This window comes from Homo sapiens, chromosome 1, assembly GCF_000001405.40.
Source record: "Homo sapiens chromosome 1, GRCh38.p14 Primary Assembly".
Lineage (NCBI taxonomy): Eukaryota > Metazoa > Chordata > Mammalia > Primates > Hominidae > Homo > Homo sapiens.
The window spans coordinates 218,016,288-218,043,245 of NC_000001.11; the positions used below are offsets into that span (position 1 = coordinate 218,016,288).

The following is a 26,958-nucleotide window of genomic DNA, read 5'->3' on the forward strand; positions in this document are numbered from 1 at the left end:
TGTTTCTTTTAATATGCAGATTAAGGAGTATTTAGCTGACAACTGTCAGGGTATTGAAACAGGTTATCAAGAGTTGGCAAGTCTAAGATGGGGGGAAAAAGGAGGCCTCATGAATCTACAAGATGTACTTCTAACAGTATGCCTAATATGTCTATGTATTTATGTGTTGTGTACACAATGTTTCACTACTGAAAATATATAAAAGAGCCCTAATTAATTAACTTAAAGAAAACTAAAAGCACTTAAATCAAATACTTTATCAGAAAAAAGGAAAGACTAGTCAAATGCTTTTTCGAGTTTACATGACTTAAGTAAAATCTTTAATAAATGAGCTAGCTTTAAAATTATTGCTAAAGTAATATTATAAATGTCTTAAGAATTGCCAGCATACATTTTTGTTTGCATTTATTGATTAAGCAATTTTATATTTATCCCTGACAAATACTATAAGGTGTCAAAATTTGGCATAGGGGTCAACTGTAAACCCGGCCAAAAACAGAATGATCTTTGCTTGTCTAATAAATAAGACATCGATATTGGTTTAATGAAAATAGCTACATCTTGAATTATTTACTAAAATTACCATGACTTCTAATCTTGTGACTTTAGGCAGTCTAGTGCACTTGTACGAAGGATGTTTGTTTAGGGAAAGGACTGTTATTGTCTTTGTTTCAAAGCTAAACTATAAACTAAGTTCCTCCCTAAGTTATTAGATTGGTGCAAAAGTAATTGTGCCTACTGCATTGTTGAAGTTTACTGTCTGATATTGGAATAGCTTCTGAAATAAATGTGGTTATGTTATACATCATTTTAATGTGCATTTCTCTATATATATTTATTTGCTAATGACTTGTTACTTGCTGTTTATTTTATGTTTATTTTAGACTATGGAAATGAAGCTAGAGAAAAAGCAATCTGAGCAATTTTCTTATTCAAGTTCAAAATGGGTCATAAACCGATGGAGATAATTCACAACATCAACAATGCATTTGGCCCAGGAGCTGCTAACAAACGTACAGTGCAGTGGTGGTTTCAGAAGTTTTGCAGAGAAGACGAGAGCCTTGAAGACAAGGAGCATAATGGCCAGCCATTGGAAGTTGACAACAACCAATTGAGAGCAATCGTCAAAGCTGATCCTCTTACAACTAAACAAGAAATTGCCAAAGAACTCAACATCAACCATTCTATGATCATTCAGCATTTGAAGCAAATTGGAAAGGTGATAAAGCTTGATAAGTGGGTGCCTCATGAGCTGGGTAAAAATTTAAAAAATCATCGTTTTGAAGTGTTGTCATCTCTTATTCTATGAAACAACAACAAACCATTTTTCAATTGGATTGTGACGTGTGATGAAAAGTGAATTTTATACAACAAAAGGCAACAACCAGCTCAGTGATTGGATGGAGAAGAAGCTCCAAAGCACTTTCCAAAGACAAACTTGCACTAAAAAAGGTCATGGTCACTGTTTGGTGGTCTGCTGCTGGTCTGATCCACTACAGCTTTCCAAATCCTGGCAAAACCATTAAATCTGAGAAGTATACTCAGCAAATCGATAAAATGCACTCACTGAAAACTGTAATGCCTGAAACCAGCAATGGTCAACCGAAAGGACCCAATTCTTCTCCATGACAGTGCCTGACTGCATGTTGCACATCAAAATTGAATGAATTGGGCTATGAAGTTTTGCCTCATCTGCCATATTCATCTGACCTCTCGCCAACTGACTACCACTTCTTCAAGCATCTCAACAACTTTTTTCAGGGAAAAACGTTTCCACAACGAGCATGATGCAGGAAGTGCTTTCCAAGAGTTTGTTGAATCCCAAAGTATAGATTTTTATGCTAGAGGAATAAACAAACTTATTTTTCATTGGCAAAAATCTGTTGATTATAATGGTTCCTATTTTGATTAATAAAGATGTGTTTGAGCCTAGTTATAATGATTTAAAATTCATGGTCCGGAATCGCAATTATGTTTGAACCAACCTAGCATAGTTTGGCCTATGCCCAGGAATGAATAAGGACAGCTTGGAGGTTAGAAGCAAGATGGACTCAGTTAGGTTGGATCTTTTTCACTTTCTCAGTTATAATTTTGCAATGGCTATCATAGTTTTCAAAGATAATTTAGGTAAATGATTAAAATAAAACAATTAGGTAAATGTAATAAGGTAAATACTTGTAGATAAACTTGTCATAATTTAGAATCTTAAGTTATATTAAATTAAATAATAAATATTTTATTATTTGGGTATTTTCCAATAAAAATATATTGTAGGAAAACATTCTTTCTAAAAAGAAAAGTGTCCTTTTAAAAAAGTAAATAACTTTTGTCTAATTTAAAACTTAAAGCTTATTCAAAGATTATGTTTAAAACAAGGTAAAAGGAATCAGGAAATAAGAGAGATGTAAAGAAAGTTATAGAAATAAATAGTTTTTTTTGGTAAGAAAGCTTAAAGAGAAACAATTTTATATAAGAAAGAATCTTGTATGGTAAATTTAGTCCTAGAATAAAATGGTTGTTTCAGAAAGAAGGGTGTTCAGGACAAACCAGAAAGTCCAAGTATGTTATGAATGGTATGTGTCAGTCATACTAAGAAGCTTCATAAAAAGAAAACAAAAACAAAAACTTTTATATGATCAAGTTGTCTGTAATTAAAGAGAAATTATAATAGTCTTTCTAGAGATTGGGTTTGATGTAAAAAAAACACTTATACACTGAAGAATTGGTTAGAACAATACAATTTTCTTAAAGGGTTGATTTACTCTTAATAAATTAGAAGAAATTTTAATTTTTTTATCCCAAAGATCAACGTTTATTGCATCTCACCATTTTCAGTTTTTCTCCCCTTTTACAGGGCATGAATTAGTAACAGTCTTCTTCAACTCATTTTCAGTTCATATAAGATTTTTTCCTTGGATTCTGTTTGTTGTTGCCTGATGCTAACAATAGTTTTTTAAAGGTCTAAAGGAAAGATTTTCTTCCACATAATATTCTGTGCCCTGCAGAAGGTCTTTTATTTTGCCTTTTGATAACTGGCTTAACAGATTTTTTGTTTTATCAAAATAATTCCTGTGCCATTATTATTAAGTTTTGGTTGGCTTAGAAAAAAGATTTAAAAAATTTCTTTTTAAATTAAGGTTATTGCATCCATGTGTCTTTTTGTATGTGCTTTTGAAGTCCTTGTGACATTGAGTTATAGGGCTTTGACTCCTGGGTCTAAAAAGGAAACCATGTCTTGCTAAATCTTAAATGCTGACAGCAATTAAAGCCTCATCTTCAGGCCTGGCAGAAAATGCCAATCAAATAAAGAGCATACCTGAGACATAGGGCCAGAAATTAAAGCTATTCAACTCCCCAAGGCCCAGAGACTGTAGCAAAAGAGGTGGGAGCATGAGACTTTGTAAGGGCCAATTTTGAGAGATAAGTTTAGTTTCTCTATACATTAACCATTAATATCAAAGGCACACAGATGCAAAACCAGCATCTGGGCCTGTATGTCAGATTAACAAGGTTTTCTTGAAGCATTAACTGGCTCCTTAATAAAGATTATAAAGGTAATAAAAGGCTTGTGGAAGTTATATCTTATGGTCAATTTAAAATTTAATAGATAGTTTATAAAATTTTCAAAAACAAATTTAATTGGCTTCACACTGTTTTTATTAGGGCTTATTGTTTGGAAAATTAAGTCTTCTCTCTCAAAGAATGAAGGTTTTCATCTTTTTTTTGAAATCCTTGAGTTATCGCTTTGGTTAAATAAATGACTTATTTGACAATGACTTGTGATCCTATTTTGTGATATTGATAGTGACAGGGGGCAGAGAAATTCTAGGCAGAAAAGGGCAGGTTCCCAACAAACTCCACCCTCAAGCAGAAAATCCTGCAGCCAGTGGGCCAATGTGAGAACTTCTATCCCTGTTTTCCCCTCAAATGTTGTCTTTTTCTAAACCATCCATGGCCCACTCCACCCCATCTTGCACCTATAAAGAGCTCAGACTCAGCCAGCAGAGAGAAGAAGCAGCTGGACTTCAGGGTCTACAGCTGAATTTTGGAGAGAAGCAGCTTGACTTCAGAGGGACAGCTTGATAGCATAACTTTGGAGAGGAACCTGGCCATAGATGGCCAGACTTTAGGGGAAGATTACCTACCTGCCCCATCCCCTTTTCAGCTCCCCTTCCTGCTGAGAGCCACTTTCACTGGCAATAAAATCCCCTGCTTTTACCATCCTTCAATTCATTTATGCAACCTCATTTTTCCTGGACACTGGACAAGCGTTCAGGAGCCATGAGTGTGGATACAAAAGGCTGTCACACTGGCCCTTTGCCTTCACTGGCAGAGGGGAGCCACCTCATGCAAAAAGGCAGAGGGCCCACTGAGCTGTTAACACTTAAGCCATCCACTGACAGCAGAGCTAAAAGGACACTGTAACACACCCCATGTGGCAGCCATGCTGCCTGGACACTGCCTCAGAGCCTGCACAGAATTCACTCCTGCCAGCACCCAAAAGTCCTTGCCCCAGCTCCTACACCCACTCACCTCTGTGCTCCCTCCCACCAAGGGTGGAATGCAACAGGTCCAAGTGAGTAGGGTTTGATCCTGCCAGCACCGAAGCAGCTGGCTGGTTCCAGCACTCATGCACTGTAGTTCCCACTTTGTTTGCTTGCATGCTCCCTCCTGTGAGGAGCTGAGAGCAGCAGGATGAGTAAATGAGGCACCCCTGGTATGAATCCCGCAAAGGGGTCAGGGTAATATCCTGCTTCAATATCAAGTGTTTTAAAGCTTTGATATTTGACAAACTTTCCAAAATCAAATTATAAATTATGTCTTTTTTCTGATACAGTTAATCCTTTAAGATGTTAGTTTCCCTGCAATCCAAAAATGATGTATTTGTCTTATTCGGTATAAAAATTATACCAGGAAGCATTGTCAAATATGAAATGCTGTTTGACTTTCTTTGGGTTGTATTTGTACAAACATGTTATTGGTATGTGTTCCAAAATTATGGGAAACTCCTATAATTCTGATATGATTTAGTGTATGTTATCAGTAATAATTATAATTGTTATATTAAATTTTTGTGTGTCACAGAGGTAACAAAATTCCTTGTCAACTGTGTCTTTGACTATAGCTGCCCTGAAACTCTGTCATACACAGACAATTGTTTTGTTTTGGTCTTCTTTAGAAAGTGGTTTTATAATCAGATATATAACTCTAAGAGGTATTCTTGAATGCAGATTTCTGATAACTTTGGAGATTGTGACATCAGAATAGAGGAAAAACTTTCAGAATTCATGGATAGCTGAAATGTTCATGAATATCAAGCAGAATAGGAATTAACTGCATGGACTGAACTAATAGAAGACTGAAATAATCTTGACTTTTTGCTTAAAACGTTGCTGTTTTGTTTTTCATAGTCAAGGAAACGGTTCTTTTGAGCTATTGACAGCTTTTAACAGAAACTTGGAGCATATTTGTTTCTCTCTACCTGTTTTCTCCAGAATTTGGAAATTATTTGTGAGTATTCTTAACTTCTGGCACTATAGTTATTTGCATAAGTGCAATAAGAGTCTGTTTTCATTTGTAACAGGAAACAATTGGAGACACTGGTTATTTTCCCAGGCTTTGACTGGAATGGTGTGCTTTCCTTTAAGGAATCAAACTTGACTTATGGAACCAATAAAAGCCCCTTGGGAAAACTGGCCTCATACCTTGTCTACACAGTCCCTGCACAGGGTTCCTGACCTGTGGTAAGTAAAGAATGCCACTTTCTGACAGGCCCAGGAGCCCCAAGTTATCTTGGAACCTCAAGAGGAGAGGAATTCACCCAACTTGTAGTATTTGATGGTACAATTCCATAGCTGGACTCAGCTTTAAAAAAAGTCTTATCTGGGCTGGGCACAGTAGTTCACGCCTGTAATCCCAGCACTTTGGGAGGCCGAGGCAGGCAGATCATGAAGTCAGGAGATTGAGACTATCCTGGCTAACATGGTGAAACCCCGTCTCTACTAAAAATACAAAAAATTAGCTGGGCATGGTAGCACCTGTAGTCCCAGCTACTTGGGAGGCTGAGGCAGGAGAATGGTGTGAACCCAGGAGGAGGAACTTGCAGTGAGCCGAGATCGTGCCACTGCACTCCAGCCTGAGCAACAGAGTGAGACTCCGTCTCAAAAAAAAAAAAAAAAAAAGTCTTATTTGAGATTCCTTCTATGGAACAAAGTTTCATCAAAGCCAATTTAAAAAGCTTATGTGAAAAATAATTATTCTTGTTGCACTTTAAACAAATTATCTGGCCAAGTATAATAAAGCAAACCACTCCTACCATGATTTGTCTTTAGTGAAAATGGGAAACTGGATAGAGAGACATTATGTTTCTAAAACTATAGTACATGGGTTGTCAGATTCTAGTCTTGCCCAATGTTTTTCAATTTTTATTATTTTCTAGAGTTTGTGCTGAATTCCAATTTTTCCTGGCTATAAATCTCCCAATTAATGTTTTCAATTTTTTCTTCTTTTTTTTCTTTTTGTCCCCCATTTGTTCTAATTTGAAATCACTGAAAACTAAACTGTGCTTTCTTAAAGCCCTACAAACTGAAGCTAGACAGCTTAAATTTCAGAAAAAAATAACAGCAACCTATTTACATACCTAAGCCTCTTTCATACCTACCTACTGATGTATGGACTTCAGAATAATGTGGCCTATATCAATATTCCAGGATTGTTCTTTTGGTTGTAGTTTTTCTCCCCTCCTTCCTCATTTTCTCTTCATAGGACATGAGACATCATAACCTGCTAAAAGTGAGTTTCCCTAATAACTTAGGACCTACCTGTCTAAGAATAAACTGTCTTATCCATGAGAGATCAGACAAAAGCTGAGGCCAGAGACTCATTTTCTTCTAAAATGCTTTCTCTGAAGGTTTTTAAAAGTAAAGAGGGGAAATGTGAAAAAAATAAAAATAAATATTGGGGCCCCCAAATCACTAATCTAAAGGGAAAAGTCAAGCTGGGAACTGCTTAGGGCAAACCTGCCTCTCATTCTATTCAAAGTCATCCCTCTGCTCACTGAGATAAATGCATAGGATTGCCTCCTTTGGAAAGGCTTATCAGAAACTCAAAAGAGTGTAGAACTGTTTGTCTCTCATCTCCCTGTGACCTGGAAGCCCCCTCCCTATTTGAGTTGTCCCACCTTTCTGGATAGAACCAATGTACATCTTACATATATTGATTGATGTCTCATGTCTCCCTAAAATATATAAAACCAAGCTGTTCCCCGACCACCTTGGGCATATGTTGTCAGGACCTCCTGAGGCTATGTCACAGGCAAGCATCCTCAAGCTTGACAAACAAACTTTCTAAATTAATGGAGACCTGTCTCAGATATTCAGGGTTCACAATATTTTTATTTTAAGAACTAATTACTAAACTTATCTTGCGGTCTTAACAAAAAAGGGTAGGTGGCATAGTCTAGTGAAAGGAACACTGGGCTGGGAGCTGAAAAAAATAGGTCATTTGTTCTTGGATATGCCACCTGCTGGATGATGATCTTGGGTGGTCCAAGCCTCAGTTTTCAAATTTGTAAGATGGAGTTATTGCTATCTGCCTTTCCATTCTATGGGGTTAATTGCTGGGATCAAATAAACTAATGAATGCAGCACTACACAGATATAAGGCTAGTCAATACTTTGGAGAATCTTGAACAATTCTGTCTGAACATCAGTTATAATGATTTCTTCCCAAACCATCATGTCACTATTATAAGCCTCTTTGCCCTGTAGTGAAAATAATTCCCAAAGGGACATACTTGCAATTTGTTTTACAATATTTCAAAAATTAGGGTGGATTGATGGATAAATAGTAGAATGGGTAGATATCCGACAAAGCAAGTATAGTAAATATAAATGACAATATCAAGGTGGTGGGTCTATAGGTGGTGGCTGTAAAATTTATTTAATTTACTATATGTTTGTTTGAAATTTTTCACAATAAACTGTAGGGATGTATGCTCATAGAAAGAAGAATAAACTCTTGTTTCCTTTAGTCATGTAAAAGCAAAGGGCTTAGTTAGACTTATTCACACAGGGAGAAACCTGTATTGATAGAGGAACACCAGTCATATTATGCTAATTTAAATTCCAGCAGTTTTGTGTCAATTAATTATGTCATTAACACCAGTTAACAAAGCACAGCCAAGCCTAAGCACAGACCTCCTCCCAGCCACCTAACAACAACTGTTCTTCCACAGCAGTTTGAACACAAAGCCAGGAGACAGCGGCTTACAGTAACACCCTCAGCTTTGCATCTGTATTGCTGTGCGACCTTGAGAAAAGTATTTAATCTCTCCCTTCTTCAATTGTCCCATTGGAAAACAGTGACTACTATTAAAGATCACAGGACCACTGAGGATATTACTGAATGATTTCTAAAGCACTCAGAAATGCCTTATACACATTAAATGATTCTCTCTCTCGTTCCTATTCATTTCACTTTTGAGTATTTTCTGAGATATTTCTAAGAATAAAGATGCAGTTCAAAATTCACTCCCCTTCCCATCCTCCAGGACCTAGCATAGTGCCTTATACATAGTAATAACTCAATAAATATGTATTGATTTGATCTGATAACCTAACAGTGTTAGAATGCATTTATTCAGAAAACATATTAGTCATTTGATCATTACAATTGCCTCGACCTAAAGCATACATTGCAAACCCTGAGACCTGTCTGATGCAGCAGAAACTAAGTTTGGATACTAATCCTAGGAGACCTTGAAGCGAAGGCAACATTATGTCTAGGGTTTTTTTCCCCCCGCCCCCCACAGTGATACATACCTCAGAGTCAAGAGAAGAGATAATAAATCTAATTGATCGCCTTGCACGTTATCTTAACACAGAGTCAGGCACAAACTCTACTGCAATATTTAAATGAAAACCACACAGAGTCAACATGATGCCAGGGAAAAGAATAGACTGATATTCTTAATTCTGAAAAACCGTATTGGTAATCAATTGGAATGCGAGAACAATTGAAAAGCTGTCCAATTTTCAGTTGCAGTATAAGTTGGGAAACAATTTGAAAATAATAGCTCATACAAAGAGTTTTCGAAGCAGTCAATATGGACTTCATGTGAAGGACAAATAGGAATTTGGCAACATATGCTACATTCAGCTACATGCATCAGACAGTATCTGTAGCACCCGCTGAAGGGTCCCTCTCATGGCAGAGTACGAAATCTTCCAGAATGTGGCTCTATTGAGACTCTGTTAAATGGCATCATCATGGAGGAAGCATTTCCAATGAATGAACAGGACTGTGGACATTCCTATTAATCTATACACATCACAAATGTATGTACATATGTGGTTTACTGAACTGATTCACTTTAGAGATGTTTATCTTTTGTGGCATAGCTATGCTATGAAACTGCTCATAAAATTGAAGATATTTCCTACCATTAACCTCAGACTCTGATCCATTGCTAGAATTCCTTTTTCCTTACACAAAAGCCTATATGGCTTGAGAAAACAAGACAGAACAAAAATCTGCAGGTTGTTATTTATTTATTTACATGAAGAAAACAAAGTTTTTTTTTATCATAAACTATGAAAACACAAAAAGTTGATAAAACTCAATTATACATTTTGAGTTTCAGAGGATGGTATCTGTTTTTGAAAACTGGTAAGATCTGAGTGACCTAGGGTCAGAGGCGTTCGAACCAGAGTGACTCCATCTTGAGTGAGGGCTAGGAAAAATGAGGCTGGGGCTTGCAGGGCTGCATTCCCAGGAAGTTAGGTATTCCTAGCCTCTAGATGTTTACGGTTAAGGGAACATATTGATAACTTTTACTAAACAGACCCAGACTTAGAAGTGTCCTGATATCCCGATATCTTTGGAACAGAAGCATTCCTAATTTTGCTTTAAAGATAATAATATCAATTCTTGCAAAATACAGTAATTAAAAAAATGAATCCTTTATCACAAACCCCTGTAGCAGAAGCACATCTCTCCGTGATCTTTTTTCATCCTATATATAAATAAGTATCGTACCTAGGGTGGATGCGTTCCTCCTCTTACTTTCGGGAATGCCCTACTCTGTCTATGGAGTAGCTGTTCTTTCACCATTTTACTTTCTTAATAAACTTGCTTTTGCTTTGCCCTGTGGACTCGCCCTGAATTGTTTCTTGCATGAGATCCAAGAACCATCTCTTGGGGTCTGGCTTGGGACCTCTTTCCAGTAAGACTAGTACAAATTACATAGAGGACCCACCTCGCCTACTGCCCCCACCCTGCTTACTCTTCCCCTATTGGGATTCCTATTTGGTATTATAGTCCACGAGATATATAGTACAAATACTTATTACCATTAAAAGCAAAAACAACTAATTGACTTGATATGTCATTTTACTGCAAAAGTTTTAAATCCCATTTTTACAGCAAATAGTATTTCAGAATGGAATAATTGTGTTATACCTCCTATCAAACTAATTTTTTTTTTTTTTTTTTTTTTTGAGGCTGAGTTTCACTCTTGTTGCCCAGACTGGAGTGCAGTGGCACGATCTCGGCTCACTGCAACCTCCGCCTCCCAGGCTCAAGCGATTCTCCTGCCTCAGCCTCCCGAGTAGCTGGGATTACAGGCACCCACCACCATGCCTAGCTAATTTTTTGTTATTTTTAGTAGAGATGGGGTTTCACCATGTTGACCAGGCTGGTCTTGAACTCCTGACCTCGGGTGATCTGCCCACCTCGGCCTCCCAAAGTGCTGGGATTACAGGCGTGAGCCACCTTGCCTGACCAAAAAAATTTTTAAATATACCATATACTTTTTTTTGTTTGTTTCTTCTGTGTGTATTATTCCTTCCTAACTCTCTTTAGAGGCATATTCTTACAATGATCTTAACAAGCAGACCAATATCCCTTTGGGATGATTTAAATGTAGTGTGCCTGAAGATGTCCCGGATGGCTTCTGAAACTCCCTTCCAATCCTAGGTTTGCCATATTTGATAGAGACACATTTTCTGCGGGCCTCATTTACCTACCCACACAAACGAAGAGCAGACAGCTGTTTGCCCCCACTGACTGCACTTGTACCCGCACAGACATGCAAATTAGGTGATGCATACTTACTGCAGTTGTGTGTTTATTAAATTTACTCACTTCCTAATAGGCCTGCTTGACAGGGGCTGAAAGAAGACCTTTTAAATGTTGATCTAGAATGTAGGCAATAAATAAGGTGCTGTTTTGAAAAAGACACCTTGAAAAATCATTAATTCGGTGATTCCAGAGGCTGATTTTCTTAATCTTTAATTTTAGTGGCTAAATAAATTTTCCCCAAATGGTTAAAATGGGTTGAAGTTAAACAACTGTGAAATTTGTCACTGTAAATAGCATATTACTTTCCTCTATGCGCCAAGTCATCTCCAATCACTGTTGAGTCACTTATTTCAAATTTGAGTTCCCCCTAAAAACAGATTTTCTTCTCCATTGATGATAATGTTGCATGCTAAGAAGGAAAATGCCAAAAAGAATGAGTGTCACTTTCTTTAGAAAAGAGGTTCCTAACCCAAGGGCAAGGGGTCCTTGAGGACCCCTGAAGAGTTTCTGTCAGTCCATGTGCACCAGGCATTGCCTATAGACTGAAGACAAAAACACCTGTTTTCCATGTGTATGTAAAGATAGTGACTAATAACGCTTTCTAAAAATTCACTTAAAAGTACACATATTGTCCATGTGGAATCATACATTGTTTTCTATGTACTTCTCAAAGAGGCACTAAAATATAATTGCTGCCTTATACAGGTTATATAACTTTGAACACTTTTTATTTAAAGATTCCCAGCCTCCAATTGGATATGGTTATGAACTACTACTTTACATATGCTTTGCTTCGCTCTTGTTACCAAAAAAGAATAAATACAAGAACAAAAATCTATAATGCCTTAAAAGTCCCAAAACTCATCCTAAAATAGGAATAATTACATTACTTTCATGTCTTAGAATTCCTATTTCCTTCTAAACAGCAAACCTCAAGATCCCCATGAAGATAAAAACCCACCTAAGTAAGGCACCCCAATCACAGATCCAATAAGTACATGAAGGTCTGCATATGGCGCTTGTGAATATGTTGACTTCTTTAATTTTGTTTGGGGGGAGGGGATGGGCAGGGGAAGGCCTTGGAGGCAAATTTACCATAGAGTGTGCAACTTAGAAAAGTTAAACCTAACCCACTTTTTTAGCAACAGAAATCAAATTGTTTTTTCCTGTTGGCATTATTTTACTGGAAGAATGTAGGCTGACTTCATAATAATCTTGTTTTCAAAGCCAGGATATGACATTTTTAGTCACCTCTTCTTTTGACTCTACACAGGATGGCATTAAAATCATTCTGGACCAAAATATATCATCTCTCTTCTATTTTCAAAGATCTCCAGGGAAAACAGTTTCAGACTTTTTCAAGTTATAAATTTCAGTATAATCTTCCCTGTCCAGGCCATCTTCAGAATTTCTAACCTCAATCCCCTTCATGCATTTTAAACTTGCCCACTCGTTTTCCTCTCTTGGTGGTGGAAATTAGAAATATATGATCACATTTTTAATCTCTTATAACTTCTTATATCCCAGCATATTAATCACAAATCACTTCACCAAGCTGGGAAACTCAGACTTCTTAAATTTTGCCTTATGCCTAATTTTAACACCTTTTAAGTGTCTGTGACCCTCCTAAGAATTACTTATCGTTTTAGTGTATCCATAGGTAAAGGCCTTGACACTAAGTTTTGATCATTGTCAATATAATGAGAGGTTTACTGAATTATTTCTTTGGTTTCTTGTCCTATTTGTGTTTTCAAGATCATGGTCTTGTAAAAGATACCGCAGAGCTGAATTAGATTCAACTTGTGAAACACTGTGAAAATTGCATCCTTTTCTGCAGTATTCCTGCATATCTACTCATTTCTCAAGCTAAGATTTTATTTTCCCAGAATCATCCATTATGAAATTAACAACCCTTTGGATGAAGGTGTTTTCTGTCACACTAGATGGAAATGCAGCCTGTCTTACTAAAAATAAATGCATTATGTACATTCCAAACAATTTTTTTTTCTCTTCGTCATTATTTTCAATGAAGATCTCATTAATATTCTTAGCAGTTTGGTGCTTTTTAGGGGCTCACCTTAAAAATTTTTTCTACTCATATCAATATAATTAAAGAAATTTATGAGAATAGTAAGTAGTGCCCCATAACAAGTATTAATAGTTGGAGGTACAGGAGATATACTTTCAGTCCCTAGGATCTTAGTGGTCATGGTACCTAAAACTTTAATTTTGATTCTAATCCTAACTTATCAGGATTTCAAGTTTCACATTTTTATTATCAGAGCAAAGTATTGGACTGGTCAGCATTCCAAGAGATTATTCTCTCGTTTGCTGATAACCAAGAACCTGAAAGCTCTTCTTGGCTTTGCAACTCTGAGGAACAACCTAAGAAACTCAAGAAGCAGCCATGAGCAAATTTTCCTATTTTTTGAATTCCTGTTGCATTTTATTATTCATGGTATAAGGTATATCACTTAATTGTGTATTGTAACATTTTATCCAGTTTCTTCTTGTGTGTTAGTTTTCCCTCCCCAGTAGGATTTTAAAATATATTCATCATTAAATGATTATTTTATTAAATAGATGATGAATACCATTAAACCCTTAATAGATGAAGGGAAAGATGGGTACTAACATAAATCATTTGTTCTTAGTAAATGTTTTTTCCATGCAGGCTTTTTATTGTTATATCACTTGGCTAGGTCTCTCTACCTCCAAGCGGCCATGTACTAAAAAATTGAGAACTAATTTTAAAGTTTGCCTACATAAAAAGGGGAACTAGTCTTTTTTTTCTTTTTTCTTTTCTTTTTTTTTTTTTTTGAGATGGAGTCTCACTCTGCTGCCCAGGCTAGAGTGCAGTGGTGCAGTCTTGGCTCACTGCAACCTCTGCCTCCCGGGTTCAAGTGATTCTCCTGTCTTAGCCTCCCAGGTAGCTGGAATTACAGGTGCGCACCACCACACCTGGCTAATTTTTGTATTTTTAGTAGAGACAGGGTTTCTCCATGTTGGCCAGGCTGGTCTCGAACTCCTGAACTCAGGTGATCCTCCTGCTTCAGCCTCCCAAAGTGCTGGGATTACAAGCGTGAGCCACTGTGCCTGGCCCTGGGAACTAGTCTTTACTGAGGGCCAACACCATGCCAGGCTCTCTGTTAGGCACCTAATTTCACCTACTCTTAGAAACATATCCAGACAACTCCACACTTCTATCACAAATTCACCTTTCTACTATCAGTGATTTCTGGGTATTCCCTTAGTTTGCATGTCTGTGCTAAACCTCATCTCCATTAAAACACATCATTGACAATTTGCTGTATTTTTCCTCCATACCGAGTCTTTACCTGAGGTAATTGTTCAAAGAGATTAAGCCATAAAAGACCTTTTGGAGGAAGATGACTTGTTGGTTTTCATTTTTAAAATCGACATAATAGTTTTACCAAATAGTTGTGCATCTTCCCATTTCCTCTTCGTGATGAACCAGGGGCTTCATGGAGCTGCAGGGTGTTCCCCCATGCAGCTGCTTAAGAAATAACCAGCAATCAACATCCCCACAGCATCAAGGAAATAGCAGTGTTGAAATGGAATGTAGAGTTAAATAAAACTCTTGCTCCAGATTTCTTTAATGAAAGAACCTATTTTTTCCTTGGAGTAGCTCTGAAACAAGGTTCATTCTCCAGGCAAGAATGGCTGTGCTTTGTTAGTTGATTGCTTGTGACATAATTAGCTGACAATCTGGCACCAGAATATTATGTGAGAATAGGACAACAATGCAGGGGAGTGTGGTAAGGTTAAATAATTTGGAAGCCTTTCAACATTGAAGAAAACCCTGAAAAAATAGATCATACCCTGGTGTTGATCTTTTAAGCTAGAATCAATTTGAGTCATATGATAGCTATAGAAGAAACGAACAGTGCCAATTTGCTATAGGTTTGGAAATATTTACCATAGGAAATGCAAAAGCTCCAATTTAATATTCCTGTGCCTTCATTTGTAGCGCAGAGAAGTGTCTGAACAAGTGGTTAAGTTCAGTGATTACAAGATTAGGGACCTGGTGTTTAAAACTCAAAACACTGATAACCACAGCATGTCTGTAAACTTAATGCTACTCCCTGAAAAAGTTTAGGTTATTTTTCTCTCCATGACTTTATCTTTGCATGTCTTTTGTGGGGGATAGATTACTAAAACTCTAAAATCTATGATGCAAACATAAAAACTGAAGAGGGATATGAAAAAACAAGAGTGTTGAACCTATAACCCTGATTATCACTACTAGGTAGAAGCAGAAAAAAATATCTTTTTAGGAGGAAAAAAAAAAAAACTTAGCTGCATGTCTTTAGTCAGTTTGTTATGGCATTAAAAGTGAAGTCTGAATTTCTCTTTGAAAGGCAATATACTGTTCAATTGCTGCCATCTTATGTCTCAATCAATAGCTGATCTTTTCATTCTTTTCTCTCCTTTTCTTTTCCAGGGTGGAGTTTGGTTCGCGGCTGTTTTGCCACCTTTTTCTCCTTCTGGGCTGTCAGATTTCTAAAAAGACCTGGAGGGAGAAAGCCTGAAGAACTTGTTAGTCCACAGCTGCCTCTCTGTCGAGGACGGTGGGTTTGATTAAAGGGGAGCACCCCCCTGGCTTTCACAGATCGCATCAATCACGTTGATCAGCCCCCGAAAGGCAACATATTGTCTGGGACTCGGCCAAGGAGGGATATCAATTTCACAATTGCACTTATGTCTTTCAGCCAAGAACCAGTTTATTTTTGGCTACTGAAGTCTGAGATTCACTTTGGAAGCAGCATTTATATTTTCACGCTTTATGCCAGCCTCTCAGCGATAACTTTCCCTTTAGTCAAATAGAAGCATCTTTACATAGCAAATTTGCTCTGTCTCACTAGAGCTTGGAGTTACACATTTCTCCTTTAAGAATCATGTTTTATATTTTGCCAGAGTTTTGAAGGTTTTTTTTTCTTTTCTATTATTAATTCATACTTCTATAAAGAGAGAGTTCTTGATAGAAGGGGTCCCCTTGCAAACAAAGCCCTCAGAAAACAGAACTGTCAGAACCAGCAATATTTTTTAAGAAAAGTTAAAGGAAAACAAGTGCAATGCTTAAACCTTCAGTTTCTGATGTGTGCTCATAGTAATAATAATGACACTTATCAGTAACACTGTAAGAAAGTCAAGTCCAATAGTTACATCCATTTTAAGTGGTTTTTAGTATTATATTTTGCAAATTGTGGAGAAACTTTTATATACTATGGCTTAGAACTCCATCAAAATTTGTTGTAGTTTGCACACATAAAATTCTGACCCATGATTACTCTGTATTATTTCTTCACCTTTAAAATATGTACTGTTTTAAAACCACCTATCATGGTTGCTTTTCTATTTCCCAATTTCTCATTCTGGACCTTACTGTTCCTGTCTGAAATTCTGGCTTATTTAAGGAATAAGATGCTTAACAGGAAATATATTACAATGAAAATTAGATTAATCATTAAAACAAATATTCGCTGAGAAAAGACATTTAAAACATATCTTTTAGAGTTCATCAATAAAAAATACATCTTCCAACTACTGTAAATATCTTGCAAAACATTTTAGTTAATGAATTAGAGCTGATAATGAAAGTATATTATCTGGCTATTTTTCTTTTGTAAGTTATGAAATGAATTACAGAATTAAATTCACTGACTTTTTAAAATAAGTCCCCAGTTGGTTTTAATTATTCCAAAATTTTAAAAACAATGTAAAAATTGAAAAGCCAAATAGTGTTAAACCCTCTTTTAGAAACAGCATCACTGTAGGCTTAATGGTTGGTAACTATAGCCTCTGTAAACTTCCTTAATAATAAATGATTAAATACCTATTTATTACGTTTATTATTTCTGAGTTACATTTATTCAAATTAATGTAAACCTACTAGAAGATACTTTTCTTTTAATTCTAAATCTTAACAGGTAGATTTTAACATCAGTTTCAAACACTAAATTTAATACGTCATTTGAAGATTTTTTCTCAAATATAACAGGTCTCAACTAGAACTGTTTAGGAAATACTGTTTGATCATGTTATTTTCCTCTGAATCATCAGTAGTAGGAGAAACTTTTTTAAAAATTATTTTCTCAGACAGCAAACCATAAAAAGCCATCGTCACAATGTGTCCCTGAAAATTAACTCGAGATCTCAGCTTTAGTGTGATTATATTACAGGCATTTGGAACTGTAATGAATGCTGAAACCTTATTGTGTTTAAATGAGGTAAGATATGTTAACTAACATCAGCAATAACTATCTTTGAAATGTTCTGCTAGATTCTTTAATTACATTTAAATGCCTTCCTTAAATTATTTTAAAATAATTCCTTTTTGGGTTCTGGAAATATAAATGGCTCTTTCGCAACCTGTGTTTACAATTTAACCTTTACATCTATAAATGATCTTGTTTAATTTTTTTGGCATAAGAACTATTTGATCTGCTATTTCTTTTCTGTTGATAGAAAGTACCTGTACTGCAAAATCGAATTTTAATTTTAATATTTGTTATTTCTCCACAGTAGAGTCCTGTGTAGTAAAGTTCATCTTGGAGGGCAAAAATGCTAATTAACACTTTCCTATTAACCAGTACTCTCATAAAAATTTTTATTTTTTAACCCCATGCCTTAAATCTATTTAAAAAAATGACAGTGATATCTTTCACCCAATTACGTATAGAAGAAAGACAAACAATTAATGTCTGTCTGGTGGCATTATTTGTCATAGTGAGATGTGCTTGAAGTAACACAATGTGTCACATTTCTCTGAAATTTGGATTTTCATAAAGTAACTCTTTTAATGTAGTTTTGATGAATTGCATTCTTAACATTCTTATTCTTAATTTAAAAGTGTTTGTTTCTTTCTAAATCATGTATTAAATCTCAGAATAGGAAGTAACATTAAAAAATGGAGGAAAGCTATTATTTGCCTAAATGAATCTCATAACCTGTGATAATTTATCATTAATTTAACTGAGTTCCTTGACTTTCTTCATCTTGATTTTGCTGTTAGATATCTACTACTTCAATACATAGCCAATATTATCATGCACTGAACTAAGTCAGCAGTTTTGACATCTTCATTTCAATGTCCTTTTCTGTACCTTCAGCAATGTTAATGTTACAAATTATAGGAGGGCATATTAATAGCCATACCCAAGAAGCAGAAAGAAAAGTGCATTTTTTTAAACTAAGTACTAACTTGGGATTTCCCGGGCCCATTGTCAAGTCAGCCGAACCCACAGCTCCTCCATTGTGATGATAATGGATTCCGTGTTGTTGGCGCAAAGGTCGCGAGGTCACCGTAAGCTCCTTAATGGACTGTGAAATAACTTTAACTGCATTAACCTCTCTGGATCACATGGGTGGCACCAACAGCCACTCCTGAAATTCTCATTCTCTTATAGAGACAATACCATTAGATTATTATATTTTCCATTTGGAATGGCAATAGGCTCAAAGCAATTATGCAGCTAAGCATTTCCATTAAGTGAATAGGACCTTAAAAAAGATTAACTAGAACATCTCTTTCATACAATATGTGGGCGTGGGGTCGGATACTCTAAAAATTTCACCAGATTTTCAAATGCCTTAAATTCAGTGTCTACTACACTAGGTTTTAAGCTGTCATTGGGTGAAAGGAAAACACCTTGTACATATCACTCTTTTCAAGCTAGGCAGTACATTTAGAGGATAAAAGTCTTTCCCATCTATTGGTTTTCTAAATGAAATCAGCTATGAAACCAAGAGAGCTGTGAGAACCAAGAACTTAGGGCAGAGAAAAGTACATTGGAAGCCACATCTATCTTTCCCTGACTTGTAAGGACCCCCTCCCTATTGCAGAGATACTATTTTCCACAGGAATTTAAATGCTCTTGTTCTCATTTCTGCCTGCTGGTTATTGTGTTTAAAAGACCAAAATTATTTCCTTTGAAACTGCACAAAGCTGGGAAGCCCTTATTATCTGAAGGACAAGAATAATTGCAATTGGTTTACATAGATATAATCAGACATCTATTTACCCACAAGTTAAGCCCTGTTGGATAAGTATCCAAGTGAGATTTAAAGAGTACTATGGTCATCAGTATTATCATTAAAGTACCTCATTGTCATCCTGATATGACATAACAGAAAAAACACACCACATTAAACACATGTTTAAAATGCTATTTGATTTTTAGTGGGATATCATGAGCTGAAAAGTGCAAACAGATAGACTCTATTTCTTTGCTTCTAGAATGCATATTTTAATGTTTTGAAAATTAGGATCCAATTTGCAATCAATTTTTATATTTAGCATAATACTTTTATGAATTCTAGAAAATATAATTGTAGGTGCCTTAGAAATGTAGTGCACTAATGAAAGACAGAAACATCCTTTCTTTATTCCTGATCTCTGTGTGTGCTTTAACCTTGGAAAAACTGTTTTTTGAGGATTTGTTGGGAGTTGATTATTGCTGTTTTCTAGAAATGAGAAGAAGCATGTGAGTTTGGCAGCTTGGCCCTTGGAGTATAAAACAGCATCATCTATGTTGTTCAAGACTTCCGATCGAATTACACTTCTGCTAAAGCCAAATACATCAAAATCTACTATTTGATTACAGTAGCTATTGTTATTTTAAAATATTTTTTAAAACATGTAGCCTCTTTCCCTGAGAGTTGCTTTGCTTTATTTGGCCAAAGCTATTATGATCACCATTGTCACCCACCAAATGGATCGGTCAGCTTACTATCTACTCATTCAAAAAGCAATTATTGCACACTTTCTGTATGCCAAGCACTTTCAATATGCAGACATTCCGGTAATGGGGACTGGCAAGTAAATCAGCAAGTATTATGACTGAGGCCTGCGCAGGGCATGTGGGAACTCAGAGAAAGGCATCCATCATGTTATTTTCTAGCAGATAAAGTAAAATCATGTTTCATGTTTCTATATCCCACTTCTTGCTTCAGCTCGCAATAAAACCACTACTCAGGAGGCTTGGAGCCATGTTTCCTGAACATGACATGCCTACTTTGCTCCCCTTCTAAGTTCCTGAGATGGCTCTCCCAACCTGCCACTTGATGGTAGTCTGATGCTCTTCTGTATGGACAGCCTACAAATGTGCCCAAGATACCAGACATGACATGTGAGTTGCCTGCATGTCTCAGGACCCATTGTCTAATCAATTAATTAGTCTACAAATATATACAGAGCACCTAGTATGTAACAGCAAGGAGCTGGTTGGGCTTTTTCACTCAAATGTATGTTTGGAGTTTGGACTGATGAGGATGTAGTAAACTATCATATGATGAGTGAGTAAAGGAAGCCAAGTATTTTCAATATTGGTCAGCAGTCAGCCAACAAATAGTACTAACGCACTGTGATAAATATGAAATGCCGAACCCTCAGTGTGATGCCTGCATTTCTGTTGCACTCCTTATGCTGTCAAGAATACAAACACACTCTATAGAGTGGATGAAACTCATTGAAAATTCCACAGTATATCCAAAACATATAAAAAGAAATATGTTCCATGACCAAGTGGAATGTTTCCCAAGGATAAAAGGTTAATTTAATATTAAATTCTGAAATCAATTAATGTAAAACATTGTATCAATAGGCTAAAATCCTGAGGTCAATTAATGTAAAACGTTATATAGTTTAGTATTCTGAAATCAATTAATGTAAAACATGATATCAATAGAATGAAAAACAAAAGCCATAAGATCATCTCAACAGATGCAGAAAAAGCATTTAACAAAATCCAACATTCTTTTGTAATAAAAACTTTCAACAAACTAGGAACATCTACAAGAAAACCCCATAGCTAACATTATACTTAATGGTAAAAGACTGGATAGTTTCTCCCTTTTGATCAGAAATAAGACAAGAATATTTGATCTTGCCACTTCTATTCAATATTTATACTAAAGATTTAAGCTAGGGTAATTAGGCAAGAAAAAGAAAAAGAAATAAAGGGAATACAGATTGGAATGGAAGAAGTAAAACTATCTCTATCCACAGATTACATGACCTTGTACTTAGAAAATCCTAAGTAATCCACTAAAAAAACTAGTAGAATCAATACGTTAGTTCAGCAAGGTTGGTTGTAGGACACAAGATCAATAACAAAAGCCAATTCTACTTCCATACACTCGTAATGAACAATCTGAAAAAGAAATTAAGAAAACAATTCCACTCACAATAGCTTTATAAAGAATAAAATACTTACAAAGAAATGGGATAAAAGAAGTACAAAACTTATACTCTGAACCCTACAAACATTGTTGAACGTAAAGGAAACCAAATAATGGAAAAGCTTTTAGGTTCATAGATCAGAAGACAACAGTTCAGATGGTAATATTCCACAAACTGATACCTAGGTTTAACAAAAACTTTACCATTTACCGGTATCTCAGCTGATTTCTTTTCTTTTTCTTTCTTTCTTTTTTTTTTTTTGAGACAGAGTCTTCTCTGTTGCCCAGGCTGGAGTGCAATGGCATGATCTCGGCTGACTGCAACCTCTGCCTCCCAGGTTCAAGCGATTCACCTGCCTCAGCTTCCTGAGTAGCTGGGATTACAGGCATCTGCCACCATGCTCAGCTAATTTTGTATTTTTAGTAGAGATGGGGTTTCACCATCTTGGCCAGGCTGGTCTTGAACTCCTGACCTTGTGATCCACCTGCCTTGGCATCCCAAAGTGCTGGGATTACAAGTGTGAGCTACAGTGCCCCGCCCCCAGCTGATTTCTTTGTAGATATTAACAATTTAATACTAAAATTCACATGTAATTGCAAGGGGACAAAAATAGCAAAAACAATCCTGAAGAAAATAAGGTTGGAGAATTCAGATTTCAAAACTTACTACAAAGTGACAGTACTCAAAACAGTGTGGCACTGGCACAGGAATGAACATATAGATCCATGGAATGGAACTGAGACTCCAGAAATAAACTGATACATCTATGATCAATTGATTTTCAATAAGGGTGCTAACACCATTCAATAGGAAAAGAATAGTTTTGTGGGTTTTTTTTTTAACAAATGGAACAGATATAACAATAGTCACATGTAAAAAGATAAAGTTGGATCCCTACTTCATGTAGTGTATAGAAATTAACTCAAAATGGTTCAAAGACCTAGATGAAAGAATTAAAACTTTACAGTTTTTAGAAAAAAATATAGGTCTAAATCTTCATAATCTTGGATTTGGCAAATTGTTCTCAGAGATGGAAGAAAAAGCATGAGCAAAAAAGGAAAAAAAGAAAAAAATAGATGAATTGAATGTCATTGATATTAAAAATTGTTGTTCTTCAAAGAACACCATCAAGAAGTAGAAAAGACAACCAACAGAACGGGAGAATATATTTGCAAATTATGTGCCCAAAAGTGGCCTGGTATATAGAATATATAGCTTTTATAACTCAATCATGTAAAACAACTCAATTTTTAAAATGGACAAAAGATCTGAATAGACATTTCTCCAGACAATAGGGTACAAATGGTCAATGAACCCATGAAAAGATGGTCAACATCCTTAGTTATAAAAAAATGTAAACCAAAATCACAATGATATATCATTTCACACCCACTAGGCTGACTAGAATTAAAAAGTCAGAAAGTAACAAGTGTTGAAGAGGATAAGGATAAAGCATAACACTCATACACTACTGATGGGAATGTAAAATGGTACATGTACTTTAAAAACAATCTGGCCGTTTCTCAAATGATTAAACATAGAGTTACTATATGACCTAGCAATTCTACTTCTAGGTATATATCCAAGAGAAATGAAAATATATGTCCACAAAAAAGCTTGTTCATGAACGTTCATATCAGCATTATTCATAATAGTCAAAAGGTGGAAAGAACCCAAATGACTATCAAGAGACAAATGGATTTTAAAATATGGTATGCCCATACAATGGAATATTATTCCATCTAAAAAAGAATTAAGGTATTGATAGATGCTGCAACACAGACAAACCTTGAAAACTTTATGTGAAGGAAAACAAGTCAGTCACATAACATCAACACATCATATTATTCCAGTCCTATGAAGGTCCAGAATAGGGAAATCTGAGACAGAAAGTAAATTATTGGTTGCTTAGGACTGAGGGATCAGATGGAGGTTGGTGGGTAGGGGATGATAGCTAAAGGTACAAGGTTTTATTTTGAGGCAAAGAAAATGTTTTAGACTTGACTGTGGGGATGGTTTTACATGTCTGTAAACATACTAAAATCTATTGAATTGTACGCTTTCAAATGGGTGAATTTTATGGTAGGTGAATTATAATAAAGCTGTTTTTAAACAGAAGATAACTCAATATTGTGTATTTTAAGACATGTACTCTGGAATTACCTAATTGCCCTTCAGAAATGTGAAATTATTTTCTAGCAACAAATGTGCAAGATAAAGAATTTGTTGGTCTCAGAATTATACCTTAGGAATCAGATTGAGGTGGGAGTTAAAATATTTGGCAGCAGGTCTTTGAGGTGCTAAGCAACTTGAGGTTTTATGTGCAAAAAGTTTAGGTCAGATTAACTTCTGCTCTTATATCTAGGTTTGCTCATGCAAGACTAGGAACCTGAGATATTCAATCCTAAAAATTAAACATATTTCAGTGCCATTCTCCTGAATATCATTGTTTGAGAGCAGCTGTTGCCTCAGTTTTGCTCTTTTTCTCTTGTAAGTTGGACATTAGCATAATTCTTGTTCCCATATGGTATTTTGCAGTTCCCAAGGTTTGTACATGCTTCTCTTTTCTCTGGAGTTTTTAAATAACAGCTGATTTTCTCTATATTGGATGCAAGTGACATATCACTTCGAAAGCCAGAAATAATATTAGTTTTAATATTCTAAAATGGAGCAATATTTAACAAGTAAGTGAATAATCACTTCAGGATAAATACAGCCATCATGCTCAAAAAGAGACCCTGAGATCCATTTCTTGTCCTTGCAGAGAAGAGAGATAATGGGTGAATGTGTCTTTATGTAAGTGTCCTCACTGAAGTTTATTTGCTTCAGGTCTTAAGGTGGCAAAGCATTTTGCAATGAAGGCACTTGCAGCTTTACATTGTTCTGTCTGAGGAGCTTTACCTTTACAGGTCTTGCTCCCATTAGTACCCATTGAATGATGGATTTTTTATCCGCATAGGCATTTTTCATATATCAGAAGACAATTTTAAAAAGCTGGAAGATACCTATATTAATTTCACACTCTTCAAGGACATTTGAAAACTCCCTAGAGGGCTGTTTCCTTTTCTGACCTCAATGTACATGGTCTAAGAAAATATTGAGCACTTACAGAGTGCTTGCCCCTTCATCTTTAGAAAGGAATGATTCTGAAAATCCTGTGGAATGTTTCACTGAAATTGGCCTGGTGATGAATGTTTTAAGAGAAGCACAACATCAAGACTCAGTTATATGGCCAAGTGGCTCAGTCACGCAACCATTTCTGCATCAGATGCCTACCACATGCAGGGCACTGAGCTAACTATAGTGAGAGAGCTACAGGAATATACAAGAGTGAGGGAGATGACAGGCATACATAGCCATAATATTGGGCTATATGGAATGAAAGTCTTGAAAATGTACAAAATAAGAGCAGTAGAAACAAATTCCTGTGGGAATTCAGAGTGAGAAGAAATCATGAGATCAAGAAATCAATTATCTCCAGGGAGGTGGTAGTATTCAAGATGGAGCTTGAAGATGGATTGTATTTCAACAAGGTAAAGGGGTGGTGGGCACATTAAAGAAAAAAGTAAATGATGAACAAAGAGACACAAAGTTTGGGATGTTTTAAGGAAAGATGAATAATTATGTTTGGCTGTGCCATAGAAAATTAATAAGATAGAAGTCTGGAAAGTAAGTTGAAGATAGATCATGAATAAGATAATGCCAATGAAAGGAAATTGGATTTTACAAAGACTATGTCAATTAACAGACTATTGCAATTAGTCCAGACAAGTGTTAGTGAGAGTTTTCTAGATATAAACTGACATTTTAGCAGCAGAATACATAGGAGTTGGAGATTGACTGGATATAGAGTAAGAAAAAGCAAGGAAAGAGTCAAAGATCACACCTAAGTAGCAAGGTTAGGATGTGTAATAGAAATAGAACACATTAACCAAAAAAAAAAAAAAAAAAAAAAAAAAGCCAAGTTTGAGGAGAAGAAAGACTATGGGTTAGGTTTGCGAAAATGAGATTGAAGATTTCAGCCTCTCCAAAAGGACATCTCAAGTGGAAGTGTGAAATCAGAGTTTGAAGAGAGGATGGGACTACAGATTATAGATTTAGTGTTTACATACATATCAATGACGGTTTACAGTTTCTAGTACTGATAAATTACATGTAAAATGAATGAATTACATGTAAAATGAAATAATTTAAGAAATGGTGCTAGGAAATAAAAGGGATCACTAAAGAAAAAAATATAGGTGAAAAAAAAAAAAAAACAGAGACAAGCCGTGGATATGATTAAGAACATCCAAATTTCTAAGTCAGGGAAGAAGAGGAGTCAGAGATCCAGACAAAGTGGCATTGAAGAGGTAAGATGGAAAGTGGAAGAGAATTTCAAAGAAGAGAAGTTAAATAGGAGACATGGAGGAGCAATGATGATGGATGCATAGCTAGTGATTTGATGGTGAGGAAGCTGCTTGGAGCAAAATCAGCAAATAACAAATTGAATGTATAATAATACTGCTATAATCTCAATGTTTGTTTCCCCCCAAAATTCATATGTTGAACTCCTAACCCCAAAGTGAGGACATTAGGAGATAGAGCCTAAGTCCTTTCTGCCCTCGTGAATGGGATTAGTGCCCTTATAAAGGAGAGACCCCAGAGAGACCCCTCCCTGCTTCCACTATGCAGTCATAGCAAAAAGATGGTAGTCTAGGAGCATGATCCTCACTAGGCACCAAATCTGCTGGTTCCTTGATCTTTAAACTTCCTAGCCTCCAGAACTGTGAGAGATAAATTTCTGTTGTTTATAAACCACCCAGTTTATGATATTTTGTTAATGTCTAGTAATGTAGGAAATTTCACTACTAAAGTTAGTTTTCAAACAAAATTTCTAACTTAAATACCAGTTGCAGAAAGCCAAGTATGAAACCAATAGAAAATAAGCAATAGATTAGCGAATAGGCTAATTATCATTTAGAGTGTAATTAATGCACCTTATAATTAATAAATAGAGACTAATCTCAATAAGACCCTGAAATTCCTACATCATTTGTAGGTGGATCAATTTTATATAACCATCTTTATTAAAAAAGAAAAATGACCAAAGTTTTGAATTTAAAAAAGGAAAATGTAAAGATCAGCTTTAATCTTTATAACTATAATAAAACAGAGACTACTTTTTACTAAATTCAAAGGTTAAATAAAGGAATCAAGAAAGAGAAAAGGTAGATACAAGGTAATCGTTTTTAAAATTCAGAAGATTAAACATACCCAAGAGATAGAATATAAAACTCTATGCAAACCCTCTCCTTTCACCAATAACAAATTTACCTTTTACTTAATTCTTTTTCTTATTTCTAAATATACATCATGTGAAAAATCTTTCCTTGCAAGTATTTTAACTCAAAGTTCTAGGAAGGAAAAGCTGCAAATTTAGCAAATTGCTTCCTTTTTTATTTTTTAAGTAAGCGAGTATCTCAAATATAAAGGCCATTTCATTTGGCTCATGGGGAAGCCCTTCTGTTTGTTAAGGTACCTATATTTAGTTAGGAGAAGATAATTCTATAACTGCTTTGAAGGGTAACCTTGATTGTTCTGATGCGATATTCAGTTACACAATCTTAAGCATCGTTACTGTACTAAAAATGCACACAAGTGTTGGAGGAATGTGACTGAGGAAACTCTTC

The 26,958-nt window shown here is 35.7% G+C and overlaps 1 long non-coding RNA gene across 1 annotated transcript in view, besides 2 other annotated features; it reads right to left on the reverse strand.

Moving 5' to 3' along the window:
- LOC105372922 (uncharacterized) overlaps window positions 1-26,958 on the reverse strand; it is a 132,858-nt gene that overhangs the window by 100,218 nt on the left and 5,682 nt on the right. The gene's annotated exons all lie outside the window — the stretch shown is intronic.
- Window positions 17,803-18,869: an enhancer, noted in NCBI's record as "VISTA enhancer hs1257". NCBI's record gives its function as "enhancer in: hindbrain (rhombencephalon)[5/6] | trigeminal V (ganglion, cranial)[3/6]" and the evidence as "EXISTENCE:transgenic organism evidence [ECO:0001131][PMID:17130149]".
- Window positions 18,102-18,638: an enhancer, noted in NCBI's record as "OCT4-NANOG hESC enhancer chr1:218207731-218208267 (GRCh37/hg19 assembly coordinates)". NCBI's record gives its function as "activates a minimal SCP1, AML or CMV promoter by ChIP-STARR-seq in primed H9 embryonic stem cells {active_cell/tissue: H9 hESC(primed)}" and the evidence as "EXISTENCE:reporter gene assay evidence [ECO:0000049][PMID:30033119]".